Consider the following 14755-nt stretch of genomic DNA (forward strand, 5'->3'; position numbering starts at 1 on the left):
GCTTGCATTGACCCTGAATACTATTCTTTCCAGAGCTTAAATTTCATTCCGAAACTAAAATACAAGTTTCCCAGTCCCATGCCTCTCAAATTGAGGCACTCATAGCCCCAAAGATGTGTACTGAGGGAATGCAAAACTCCAAAATGAACATATTTCTGCAGTGTAACAGTAAATCATTACAAACACTGTTTCTATATTAAATACATTCTGAGAATTAGAATCAAAAGTTATCAGAATTTTTATTATGAAAATAACAACTGTAAAAGTAATAATACAAAACACTAATATCTGCTGACCACTATGGGCTGGCACTATTTTAAGCTTTCTCTATGTACGACTTCATTTAATTCATACAACCACCCTCTGGGAAAGGGTTATCACTCCCATCATACAGATGAAGAAACCGAGGAGTAGAGAAGTGACACAAATTGTACAAGGGCACATAGTTACAGTTTCAGAGGCAGAATTCTTCTTTTTCCTCTTTTTTTGTTTGAGACAGAGGTTGTATTAGTCCATTTTCATGCTGCTGATAAAGACATACCTGAGACTGGGTAATTTATAAAGGAAAGCGGTTTAATGGACTCACAGTTCCACATGGCTGAGGAGGCCTCACAATCATGGTGGAAGGCAAAAGGCACGTCTTACATGGCAGCAGGCAAAAAAAAAAAAAAAAAAAAAAAAAAAAAAAAAAAAATTGTGCCAGGGAACCCCCCTTTATAAAACCATCAGATCTCGTGAAACTTATTCACTATCACAAGAACAGCATGGGAAAGACCTGCCCCCACGATTTAATTGCCTCCCACTGGGTCCTTCCCATGACATATGGGAATTGTGTGAGCTACAACTCAAGATGAGATTTGGGTGGGGACACAGCAAAACCATATCAGGGGTCTTGCTCTGTTGCCCAGGTTGGAATTCAATGGCAGGATCACAGCTCACCGTAACCTTGACCACCCAGGCTCAAGCGATCCCCCTACCTCAGCCTCCTGAGTAGCTGGACTACGGGCATGTGGCACCATGCTCGGCTAATTATTTTATTATTTGTAGAGACAAAGTCTTGGTATGTCACCAGGCTGGTCTCGAACTCCTGGCCACAAGATACTCCCACTTTGGCCTCCCAAAGTACGGGGATCATAGGTATTGAGCCATGCCTGGAGCAGAGGTAGGATTCTAAACGCAGATGCCTACTCAGTTACTGTGGCATAGGACATGAGAGGAGAGACCCTGTGCAGGCCTGGAGGGAGTCAGGTTGGCTGTGTAAATAAAGCAGATCTGTAAATTACTAGACAAAATAGCCAGACACAGAAAAATAAGAGACTATGAGGCTGCCTTAGGCCTTGCTGGCTTTCCAATTCCTGGTTCCTATCCCTTAGGAGGCCTGATCACTGGTACAGAAATATCCCTGTAATCATCTGCAGTAGTGAGTTTCCATTACTTCCAAAGCAAAATAAAGACAATGGGCAACATAGTGCCAAGAAAACATGAAGAGGAAAAAAGGTGTGCTGAGTCCCCTTCTACTATGTCCCAATTATTTCTGTTCAGGTGCCTACCCATCCCCCATGCAGCCCATGTGCTTCAGAGGGAGATGACCTCATCCCCAGCTCCAAGGGCAGATCTTGACTGGATCTGCCAATACACCTATATCATTCCTCTGAACACGCTGATTGGTCTGGGGGAGCAGGTGTTCTAAGTTGACTCAATCACCATCAGGTGAAGGGCTTTTTTCCTCATGGCTAGGAGACAGGTTCCCTCCTCTACATAGCTCTTTCTCTCATTAAATGTGGACAAATTAGTACGCTGATCCTAGATGATGTTGACAGTCATGAGGAATCCAAACTTGAAAAAAAAAAAGTGGACATACAGAGAAAGGTAGAGCCAAAAGAATAAGAGCTATGGAAATACTGCCCACTTGGCTATGAGATAATGCAGTTCCTTAGTGAGAGGAAGGGCAGTGTCACTGCCAACCGCTCAGATTCTAAAGCTAATCAGCCCATGTTTGAATCTGGTGCTGCCACTTACTGGCCATCTTACTTCATACAAGTCACTTGACATCTCTAGCCTCAGTCTGTAAAACAAAGATAATAGTTCCAACCTCACATGGTTATTATGAGGATTAAATATAGACACACATTTACACACACACATATACATACATACATCAAGCACTTAGAGCAGAGCCTGCACATAGTAAACACATGTAAGGGATGGCTGGTATTGTCTGAGTCAGGTTTCTGCTACTTGCAGCACAAGGCAGCCTAACTGATACAGGAGGAGGGATAAAGTAAGTACAGGAGGGCTTCCCTGAGGCATGGAGTGCCAATCTGGGTTCTGGGAGAGTCAGATGAGTGAGAAACAGGACATCACCCTATCTTCCCATACCTATTATGGAGAGAATAGAAATTCCATTCCATAAAAAACTACAGGAAGACAATGTCGGATAAAATCAGTGAAGGAAGAAAGCATATTAGAGCTATCCAGTTGTGTGACAGTACAGATGGGGGAAAGCCCAATGTAGTTCTCTCACCCAAGAAGATGCCACGACTGTAGAGATGTCAGTGGGAAGCCAAAATCAGATCTATGTAAAGAGGACATAGAGCAAGGCTTAGTTTCTAAAGGAAACTTATTCTGAGCCCATCTCTGAATTGAGCCAACAGGCCATGCACAGGGACAGAGTGACATCTGGTTTCTAGTCACACACCCACACCTGCTAACCAACACACAGCTTGAAAGTCTAATTTTACACTTAGTAGCCCTGACAGCTTTTTTATTCCCTTTAAAAAAACTTGTCCCTATTCTGGGTGCAGTGGCTAGCCATTACTCTCAGATTTCCTTAGCAAAGGGAAGAAATTAAAGTAATAATGAATCTTTCTTGGATGCCCCCACCCCATCCCATTACCCATTCATTTAGAATGTCTGCCTAAATGCCTTTCTAAATCCATGTCAAGAGCTAAGGAAACATAAGTTCTCTGGAATGTGGATCCCAGCTTTCAGCATATCAACCCCTAATCAGAAACCTTTTTGTGGCTGCTTGTTGCTGAAGGGACAAAACCCATTCTTCATACCTGGGATCCAAAGCACTCTACAGAACAAGATAAACCCATCCTTTGTAAATGTTCATATTCCTGCCTCACCACTGTGCTCAAGGTGGAGTCTACAATATCTGCATTCGTATCTTGGCTTAGCAATCTACTGACTGTATCACCTTGGGCAAGTTATTTAACCTAAGCCTCCAAAGAATACACATGAAGGATATAGCTTTGACCTTGACATAGTAGGCATCAATAAATGTTAGCCTGCTGTGTCAATGATAGAAAAGGCAGTGTTTTGGAGAGGACTGGAACATAACAAACCAAAGGAAGAAAAAAAAAAATTTAACTGGTCAAACCTTCTTATACAGAAGTCTGGTCATATGTACCAAAATATAAAATGCATACAACCTTTGACCATGAAATCTCACTTTGCTCAATCTACCTTAAATGGTAACAGAATAAGTGGGAAAATATGTAATCATAGAGACTTTCACCACAACACTGTTTGTAAGAGCAAAAACAAACAACCTAAGTTTCAATGAGGAACAGACCAAGAAAATCATGTAAACAAACAATATCTCCAGGTATGATTAATTTTCCTTTTTTTCTCAGAACTGGTTTTTTTACAAGACACATGCATTATTGTTTCTAGAATCAGAATGACTATTTTAAAATAATTTTTGAAAAACACTCAAAGGAAAATTGTTCCTAAAGGATGTCCTCCCTGGATTTTCAGAGCTAATTGTCATTTTATATATCACAGATGAAAGTTTAGTTCACCTTTTAAGACTAGCTAATAGCTCAAATATGTGCAAAAATTAAGGCTAACACGAAGTAGATGAAATGATTTTTTTGCACAAAATCAGCCAATTCCATCCTTTTGCTATTTCTACATACAAAGAAAGGAGCTCTATTCTCTGGCCACAGCCTTTACACTTAATCCCAAACATCTATGCCCTATGTGAAACTCTTATCATGAGAGAGACTAAGAAAGAAAAACTAGCGGGTGGTTCAGAGCAAGCCCACCTCTGATGCCAATAAGACATGGCTTCACACCCACTCAGCGGGCTGCTGCAGCATCCTAAAATTATCACTACAGGACCAAAGTTATGGAGAGCAGTAATGATCTGGACAAGGGTTTGGGCTTAAGAATGGATTTTAAATTTTCGGTTTATAGTTGTTTGGGCTTGAGGGCTTTACTATTTCCATAAAATGATAAGTATATAATAAAAAATTCAAACCACACAGAATAATAACAAAAAAAAACAGATAATTATCCAGTTCACAGCAACCACAGTTCACAGCAATAATCACTATTAACATTTAGTGCTTATATTTTACTTGTTTTTAAATGTATCTCAAAAAAATTAATCATTTTTCACCCATTATACTGGCAAAAGTTAAAAAGCATGTGAATAAGTGCTGACGCTGTTGTAAGGGAATGAACACGCTCATGCGCTGTTGATCAGTGTAAAATGTGCATATTAACACATTGGAAGGCAAAGTGACAGAATCTGTATGTTACGACTGCATGTCGGTGCCCTCCCCTGCCACCCCCAATTCATGTGCTGAAACTTTAACCTACAATGGGATGGTACTAGGAGACTGAGACTTTGGGAGGTAATTAGGTTTTCATGAGGTCATGAGTTAGAGACTGCATTTTGGGATTGGTGTCCTTATAAAAAGAAACCAAGACTAGAACTCACTCTATCCACCATGTGAGGCAATGATGAGGAGGCAGCATCTGCAAACCAAAAATATGGCCTTCACCAGACACTGGAAAGGCCAGTGCCTAGATGGTGGATTTCCCAGCCTCCAGGTCTGTGAGAAATTAATGTTTACTGTGTAAACCACACAGTCTATGGTATTCTTGTTATAGCAGGCAAACTAAAACACTATATAAACTAATAAAAGTATGCATGTCCTGAGAATCAGCTATATCGTTTTCTGTATTGAGATATAATTCACTTACCATAAAATTCACCCTTTTAAGGTACACAATTCAGTGAGGTTTAGTATATTCGCAGAGTTCTGCAACCATCAACACTAATTCCAGGACATTTTCATCACCCCAAAAAAGAAACTCCGTACCAACTGGCAGTCACTCATCACTCCCCTCTCCCCGTAACCCATGGAAACCAATAATCTACATTCTGTCACTATGGATTTACACATTCTGGACTTTTCAAATAAATGGACCCATACAATATGTGGCCTTTTGTAACTGCCTTCTTTCATTTAGCATATTTTCAAAATTTGTCCATGTTTAACCATGAATCAGCACTCCATTCCTTTTTGTAGCTAAATAATATTCCATTTTGTGGATACATTACATTGGGCTACATATTTATCAGTTGATGGACATTGGCTTGTTTCTACATTCTGGCTATTATAATGCTATGAAAGTTTTGTACAAGTTTTTGTGTGGACATATATTTTCTCATTTTTCTTGTAGTATCTAGGAGTGAAATTGCTGGGTCAAGTGGTAATTCTACGTTTAACTTTTTGAGGATCTGAAAAACTGTTCTCCAAAGCAGCTGCACCATTTTATATTCCCATAAGAAACATGTAAGGGTTCTAATTTATCCACATATCCACAACCAATCCTTGTTATTGTGTGTCTTTTTTTTTTTTTTTTTTTTTTTTTTGAGACAGTCTCGCTCTGTTGCCCAGGCTAGAGTGCCATGGTGCGATCTCGGCTCACTGAAACCTTCGTCTCCTGGGTTCAAGCTATTCTCGTGCCTCAGCCACCCATATAGTTGAAACCATAGGCATGCACCACCACACCCGGCTAATTGTTGTATTTTTAGTAGAGACGGGATTTTGCCATGTGACTAGGGTGGTCTCAAACTCCTGGACTCAAGTGATCACCCCGCCTTGGCCTCCCAAAGTGCTAGGATTACAGGCATGAGTCACCACGCCCAGCCTGTTTTTCACCTTCTTGACAGTGTCCCTTGAAACACAAAAGTTTCTAATTGATGACATCAATTTTATCTATTTTTAATTTTGCTGCTTAAATTTTTGCTATCATATCTAAGAAATTACTACCTAACCCAAGATGACAAAGATTTATACCCATGTTTATTTCTAAGTGTCTTATAGTTTTAACTCTTTCATTTAGGTATTTGATCTATTTTGAGTTAATTTTGTATTCTACATGAGGTAGGGATCTAAATTCATTCTTTCGTATGTGGATATCCAGTTATCTCAGCACCATTTGTTGAAAGAAATATTCTTTCCCCATTGATTGGTCTTGTAATATTAACTGTTTTAAATCTATCTAAAATGTTCTATAGTTTAATTGTGGCAGTGGTGGCACAACTATATATTTGTCAAAACTCAAAGAACTATACACTAAGAAAAGTAAGTTTTATTGTATGCAAATAATATCTCAATAAACCTGATATTAAAAAATTCTACTCTAGGCCAGGCACAGTGGATCACGCCTGGAATCCTAGCACTTTGGGAGGCTGATGTAGGAGAATCACTTGAGCCAGGAGTTTGAGACCAGCCTGGGCAACATAGTGAGACCCCGTATCTACGAAACAAATTTTTTAATTAACAAGGCATGGTGACACATGCCTGAAACCTTCATCTCCTGAGGCACATGCCTGTAGTCCCTGCTTCTCAGGAGGCTGAGGTGGGAGGATCACTTGAGCCCAGGAGGTTGAGGCTGCACCGAGCCATGATTACACCACTGCACTCCAGCCTAGGTGACAGAGCAAGACTGCATTTCAAAAAAAAATAAATAAATAAATAAAAAAAAATATATATATATATATACTTTAGATAAACAACTCATATAACATAAAGGATCATATACAAGGAAGATATGCTTCACAAATGTTGTAATATTGTTTGTAAAAAAGAACTTAGATACCATCTGTCTATCAAAAAAGTAGTAGCTACATAAAATGTCATATAGTCACAGGATTGAATTATATGCAATAAAGGAATAAGCTAGTTTTATATATATATATATATATATATATATCACATGGTTTAAGCTCAGAAACATTCCATTAAGTAAAAAAAAAAGAAGTGCACAATTTACAAACTAATTTATAACTTACAATACATGTTTTAAAATATATACAAAACCATACTATACAGGCTCTATGAGTATATATATAAGGATCTAAAGGTATCTCTTTAAGGTCTGGAAGAATATTCAGCAAACTGATAACACTCACTACTTCTCAAGAGGGTGAAAAAGACAACAGGATTGGGGGAGATGGTGAGACAGAAGGTGAACTCTATCATTTCCTGACCTCCCTTGCAAAAAATTCATTAATTACTGTGATTAAAAAATTAATAATGTGGAATTTGTATGAGTTATAAACAGTGGTCATAAGTATAGAACCATAGATTTTTAATGTATGTACTCATGTGTCCATCCCTGCAACCAAAACACACACACATATACACACGAGTCTTACCAATTTGGGTTTTCCATACTTTCCCGGAAGACAGACTCTTCCTTCATGGATGCATACTGTGTCCACGTAAGGCAGTGACTCCGTATGGCCATGTTTCTTTCCCGAGGATTGAGCCATGACTCCTCTTCTAATTGGATATTAGGTACTTTCAAAATGCTCACCTGTCCAACAGAAAGAAAATGGCTTTTTCAATTTAGGAAGAGCAGGCAACATAATGACTGCATCCAGAGTTACTCTCAGTCTTGGATAACCAAGAGGACAAGTAATCCTGATACATGGATGATGGCTCACCAGTGGCTGTACGTTTTTGATAATCAAACATACTATGACCTTACTAAGTGCTGGTGAGGACATGCAAATGACCCAGGATTTATGTAGGCTATACAGTCTCTGGCCTAATTTACCTAACTGCTAAACACTAAGCAAATTATCAGCCTCCTTCGCGTCTCCTCTAAGGCTGGTTATGGCCTTCTTAAATTGATGGATTCTAATCGAGCCCACTTACAAGCTCACATGCAGAACAATATCAGGTAAAATATTTTCTTCATTTTAAACTCTGTCCAATACCTAGAAATGTATGGTTTCCTAGGTGAAGACATGGAAAACTACAAAGGCAGAATTGTACAAGTCAGAGGTGTCCTTAAATTATTTAAGAATTGAGACACAAGACAAAGTTGAATGCCTTTTTAAATAATAGATTCAGAGTGAGTATATAGGGCAAAGGCAGGGTACACACTCTGGAAAAAGCCAGTAATAATTTGCTGCTACACTGCAACAAGTTTTACCATCTGGAAAATAAAAGAAAGTTCATTTTCATTGTCATATCAGCTTTATTACACTGAAGAATGTGACAGTCTTTTAATTCATGATAAGGAAGTGACGGAAGCTGCCATTTGTTCCACATACAGCACAGCAATTTAATTTGCAAGCTAATCGGCAGGAGCCAAGCTGGGTTCCACATCTGATATGGTTTGGCTGTGTCCCCTCCCAAATCTCATCTTGAATTGTAGCTCCCATAATCCCCACATGTCATGGGAGAGACTCAGTGGGAGGTAACTGAATCACGGGGGCGGGTTTTCCTGTGCTGTTCCCATGATAGTGAATAAGTCTCACCAGATCTGATGGTTTTATAAAGGGCAGTTCCCCTGCACACGCTCTCTTGCCTGCTGCCATGTAACATGTATCTGGGCTCCTCCTTCACCTTCCACCATGATTATGAGGCCTCCCCAGCCATGTGGAACTGTGAGTCCATTAAAACTCTTTTTATTTATAAATTACTCAGTCTCAGGTATGTCTTTATCAGTAGCCTGAGAATGGAGTAACACAACATCACACACAGAATCTCTCTTGGGTTGAAACTACCCTCTGAGACCTGTTTAAAGGGCATATCCAGATGCTTTCCTCTGACTTCCTCATAGCTCTAAAAGGACTCCCACTGAAAATCCCTCTATGGGTCAAGCAATGTGATTAAAAATTTCCACTCACCTTTTTCCAACAAAGAATCACCAGAGTGCTTAAGGACTTCAAAGAGAGAAAACAATTTGCTATCATGAAGATTTCATCATCAATGATATTACTTTAGAGAAATACACATAAAGACTTACAGAGGGTGTGGAGAACCTTATACTCTGGGAAATAACTGTTATCTCTGATAGTGAATTAGAAACTGAAGTTTTTCTCTTTCTTATTAAAGATGAGACTAAATATTTACATTCTTCCCATTTCTGATCATTCTCACCTAAGAGTAATTTCTAATCATGAACAGATTAGATAGTCACTTCATGCAAAATGCCAAAAGTATCTTTAAAGTAACTGCACAATATCTCTATGTCCATTAAGAGTTCTTCACAAGACAGAGAGACAAAGTATCTCCAGTGGCATCTGCTAAAAGTGAGGTTGGATAAGAAAGAGCTTTCTTCCTCAGAAGGTTCTGAGGTAAAAGGAGTAGGAAGTTTCTAACGCTCCTTTACATCAGAAAATGCTGTTCCTTTTCATGACTATTAAAAATTACTCAATGTTACAACTGTGATTACATTTTAAAATGAACTTACCTTCCTTAAAATTTCTGGAACCACGTTCTGACAGATTGCAATCCTCTTTCTGTAGATGACCCCTGTTGATTCATCTAAAAAAGAAATTTTTTTACACAAAAAAAAATTAAAGAAATGTGTTCTTTTCTTAGTGTCAATAAATCTTGCGGGGGTGGGGTTTTTTTGTTTTTTGTTTTTTGTTTTTTTTTTTTGAGACACCCAGGCTGGAGTGCAATGGCACGGTCTCGGCTCACTGCAACTTCTACCTCCTGGGTTCAAGGGATTCTCCTGCCTCAGCCTCCCGCAATGAATCTTTTAAAGTCAGTATCAATTTTCTATTTGCAAGATTCCTACAGAAAATGTTTAACTCAAAATTCAGTTTCCCTGACACTTTTCAGGGCCGAATCAGGTATTCCTTATCTGGGATGAAGGAATAAGGGTACAACAGTAACTCAGAATGCACACTCCAATGTCAAGGATGAAAGAATCACAACCGTTCGCTGCTCTGGACTATCCGTGTCAGTACTCCAATGACGATGACCAGTGGGACTCCTGCTCAACTCCAAAGAGAATGTTTCAACAAAAAGAGGGAGAACCTGATGCTGCTACCTTTTGTACCAAACTTTCAAGCACAGATTTCTGGCTGCAAAATTTAAACCCATAATTAATTATATTAGCCACATTTCTCTCTCATAAGGGAGTAGACTTCCTATTGTTACCGGCAGCAAACCTGTACGGTTCTGCAGCAACCTCAATTATGGTCTCCTCAGAAGAAGAAGGAATTCGACTGAGGGGCATAAGGCAGAAGGAGGGACCAAGACAAGTTTTAGAGCAGGAGTGAAAGTTTATTTAAAAAGAATAGGAAATGGCTATTCCTGTTCTTTTTATAAACTTTCCTAAACAGGAAAAAGCTATTCCGCTTCCTTTAGAATGGGAATGAAAGGAAGGAAAGTACCAGTTAGAAGACAGCCAAGCGGGCAACCTGAAAGGCAGGCGTGTGGTCTGACCTTTCGACTTGGGGTTTTACGCACGTTGGCATATATCCGGGGTCTTACATCACTTCTCCCAACTCCTGAGATCTTATCAGGAAGCTGCTGATCATCAGTTTCAGGTATTTTCTATCTATTAGAAGCGTGCCTTTGCCTGGTGCCAGCTGTGACCAATTATTACTTTAGAGAGACAGTTAACAACCGCCTGACCGTCACCTGATGGTCATCCAACTCTCCTGGGTGTGTGTGTGTGTGTGTGTGTGTGTGTGTAAGTCCTCTTCTGTGTGTGTGTGTGTAAGTCCTCTTCTGTGTGTGTGTATGTGTGTGTAAGCCCTCTTCTGTGTGTATGTGTGTGTAAGCCCTCTTCTGTGTGTTTAAGCTCTCTTCTGTGTGTGTGTATGTGTGTAAGCCCTCTTCTGTGTATGTGTGTGTAAGCCCTCGTGTTTGTGTGTGTGTGTGTAAGCCCTCTTCTGTCCTGCTCATACCTGACTAGCTACCTACTGTAACACTAGGACTGCAACCATTTTGTTCTGCGGTGAAGTTTCCAGAATTAAGCCAGGGATGTAAAAAACAATGTTAGTTAAGAAAAAGAAAGGCAGAGGCAGAGAAAAGAATAAATTCTGAAGTGCAGTCTTCTGCTTTGTGAATCACTGTGACTTAGCCATGCTGTTACAGGTTTTCTCAAAGCTCTGGCTATAGTAGTCCCAACCCTTGATGCAAAAACCCTGACTGCCCAGAAGCTGTTGATAGGGTGCAAACCCCTCTGCCCATTGGCCCTCCCTTTGGCCATCTCATCCAGTGTTTGCTGCACACATACTCGAAATGGATTAGCCACTCCCAAAGGCAAAGATGCCCCTGACGATGACAGAAATTATAATTAACATTTCAATTTAGAATATGCACAGTGTTCTCTCATTTGATCTTCCTAACAACCTAAAAACAAGATTATTTTCCCGTTTGACAGATGAAGAAACTGAGGCTCCAAAAAGTTGGGTCACCAAGGTAGTAATGAAATCAAGATTTGAAATCCAGTTTGTCTGATGACAAATAATAAGTTTCTCTCACACTGCAGGTACATGAGAAAATATTTTTAATATATCTATATGGTTATAGAATTACAGAAAATGCATATACAAGCAAAAGGCAGTTATGTTTACCAAGCACAGAGAGGGCTTCAGAGTCACACACAATGAACAGTAGCATCTCATGATTCCTAAGAAGGGTAAAGAGCATGCTGGACCTAGGCCCCAGTGTCCCCAAAGCTTTGTACATTGACTATGTGCATTGTCACAGCTTCCTGCATTGCCCAGTTCTCAAGTTTAAACACTGACACTAATAATGGTTTTTGCTGGAGATGGGGATAACACAGAACAGAAGAGATTCCTATGCTCTAGACCAGGAATCAGTAAACATTTTCTGCAAAGAATCAGGTGCTAAATAATTTAAGTTTTGTGGGCAATAAAGTCTCTGTGGCAACTGGTCAACTCTGCTGTTGTAGTGAGGAAGCAGTCGTAGATGACATGTAAACAAATGTGACTATGTTCCAGTCAAACTTTATTTACTAAAACAGGCAGCACAAGCCATAGCTTGTCAACTCCTGATTTAGTCAATGCTAAACCACACTGCCTAGTAGTTGTGATTCCATAAGCCATCACTTTATAGTCATATCTCGTATTTAATCATATGCATTTTGCCATCTACAAAATGATATAATAGGCTACAGCCATGTGACCTTGAGCAAGTCACTTAACTTCTCTGTATCCCAGTTTCTCCATTCATTAAATGAGTAGTCTAACACCTATTCCAAACATTGTTCTGAATATTAAATGAATTAATAAGAGTACCTGCCACATATTAAGTGCTCAAAAATGTTAGCAGTTACAATTATATATAGCTCAGTGTTGTCATCAATTATTAGTTAGAAAGTGACAAAAAGCATCAGCAGGCCTTTTACTATCACAAATCCTGGTGCTCTACCTGCCACACCTTTCTAAGTCACCTCAAGTACAGAAATATACCTGTTTAAAAACTAATAATGGAAGAAACTGCAGGTGAACAATTTTTTAAAAAAAACCTAATAGGCCACACACACACGTACACACATCTTTACAAAAATCACTATCATTTAATGATCATTACTGAAAAAACTGTACAGAGAACTTACCTCTTTTTTCCTCCATGATTTTTACTGAGATGACATTTTTATCCATGGGGTTGGGGTACTAAACAAAAATATATAAAAAAGAATTACCATTAATCTTCTACCAAGGTGAACTATTTAGAAGTAACCACAGCTGTCTGCAGGACTAGTAAATATTTTCCAAGAAACTTCTAAACAAAGCCCAGTTTTGAATCATGGATCTTAATTTTATAACTTGGGCCTAGATAAGTGAGATGCTATCATCATCTTGACTTACATGAAATCTGGGGAAAACCTTCTTTAGATCCAACTAGCCCTGAGGGGGATGAGGTTAAGCTAATCAGTAAATAATAATACTATTAATATTGAACCAGCCTAACATAAATCAAGAGTGTTCTTTGTGCTAGGCACTGTACTAAATGCTTTCCTTGCACAATCTTGTCTAAATCCAACAGCCTCTCTGTTATAACTGATTTATGTGATACCACCATCCCCATCTTTCAGATACGGAAACTGAATGAAGACTGGATTGCTTAGGGTCACCCAGCTGGCTCCTGGTGGAGCCAGGGAATTAAACCAGGCCTGTTTAATACAGAGTGGACCTCTTCACTGTGGTCTAATATCATTGTCTGGTGGCTGGGTTAGCATCACAGTAGCATAGTCATAGAAGTATGCTTTGCTAGGCACATAGTAAATACTCAATAAATATTTAACATGTTAATTTAATTCCCCTGAAAAGCAATTTGGCTGTGACAAGGTTGATAATAGCCACTGCTTTTGTCGTAGGCAATTTAAATACTTTAGATACATTAGCTCAGTTAATTCACAAAACCATTCTATAAGGTATGTGTTATTTTTTCCACTTCATATATGAAAAATAAGGCTTAGACAAATTAGATAATTTGCTCAAATTGTCCAGCTAATGAATAGTGTATCTGGGGGGTAACATAATTTACCCCCGATACTTTCTGCCAGCCTGCAAAGCCTGCCCACCTAACCTACCACCAAATCACCTAAGAGTTAAATTAACACAATCCTTTCCACTACTCAGATGTGAAAAGAGAGACACTGGGAGCAGAAGTGACCTCCTAGAAGCCACAGGACAAGGTAGCTGCTGACCAAAGCCTACTGAGCCCCCTTGGACTCTCTTCCCTGAGGTTTACCGACGTATCATGTGATCAAATCTGAAAAGAAAATTGGCAGGAAGTCTTATCCATGACATCACAAAGTGCTGAGCAGAAGGCAAAAGCAGCAGGCAGGCTGAGGGGAGAAAGAAGAAAGGCCCCTCACTTTGCAAACTTGAGCTTTAAGTTTTCCGAACCCTAGGAAGTGAAATACAAAACTCTGACTGTGGGTCTCCACCCACAGCAGGCGTGTGTGTGTGTGTGTGTGTGTGTGTGTGTGTGTGTGTGATATTGATTTATTAATGGATTTTTCAGGGAAAGGGGTTCATCATTTTAACACATTCTTAAAGATATCTGTGACCCAAAAAGACACTAGATTAGAACACAGGCTCTCTGAGGGCAGGAATACTGTCTATTTCAGTTACTCCTGTATCTCCAACAGCCAGCGTAATGCCTGGCACATAAAAAGCACTCAGTCAATATTTTCTGGATAAATAAAAAATTGGGAATATAAACCTCAATGACCTCAGGGATCAATTTGGAAAATGAGCCTGCCTTCAGTCAGAAACCAATCTATGAAGAGAGCAGTGGCTCAGCTTTCAGCAACCTCAATATCTCTTCATGTTTCATGTTGGTAAACTCTGTCATTCACACTTCCATCCTGGAAACTGAAATCTTGATAACTGATGAAAAACTTGGTTTTTAAAAATCTATTTATTTATATATTCATTCATTCACTCATTTTAGCCCTAGAAAAAAAAATGCTTGGCTGGGCATGGAGGTTCATGCCTGTAATCCCAGCACTTTGGGAGGCTGAGGCGGGTGGATCACTTGAGGTTAGGAGTTTGAGACCAGCCTGCCCAAAATAGTGAAACCCTGTCTCTACTAAAAATACAAAAATTAGCCAGATGTGGTGGTGCATGCCTGTAGTCCCAGCTACTCAGGATGCTGAGGCAGGAGAATTGCTTGAACCTGGGAGGCGGAGGTTGCAGTGAGCCGAGATC

At 39.5% G+C, this 14755-nt stretch overlaps 1 protein-coding gene across 17 annotated transcripts in view; it reads right to left on the reverse strand.

Annotated features, from left to right (window-relative positions):
- Positions 1-14755, reverse strand: part of PRELID2 (PRELI domain containing 2) — a 606358-nt gene that overhangs the window by 581441 nt on the left and 10162 nt on the right. For 10 of the 17 annotated variants that reach the window (XM_047416832.1, XM_047416828.1, XM_017009133.2 and 7 more), the window contains exons 2-5: positions 12652-12709; positions 9520-9593; positions 8954-8989; positions 7469-7629 (exon numbers count right to left, since the gene is read on the reverse strand). In XM_047416832.1, coding sequence (XP_047272788.1) covers positions 7469-7629; positions 8954-8989; positions 9520-9593; positions 12652-12709 — 329 coding nt within the window. The remainder of the gene's footprint in view (positions 1-7468; positions 7630-8953; positions 8990-9519; positions 9594-12651; positions 12710-14755) is intronic. The other 7 variants (XR_007058586.1, XM_047416830.1, XM_047416829.1 and 4 more) reach the window with 1 other exon arrangement.

The sequence above is a fragment of the Homo sapiens genome, chromosome 5 (assembly GCF_000001405.40).
Source record: "Homo sapiens chromosome 5, GRCh38.p14 Primary Assembly".
NCBI lineage: Eukaryota > Metazoa > Chordata > Mammalia > Primates > Hominidae > Homo > Homo sapiens.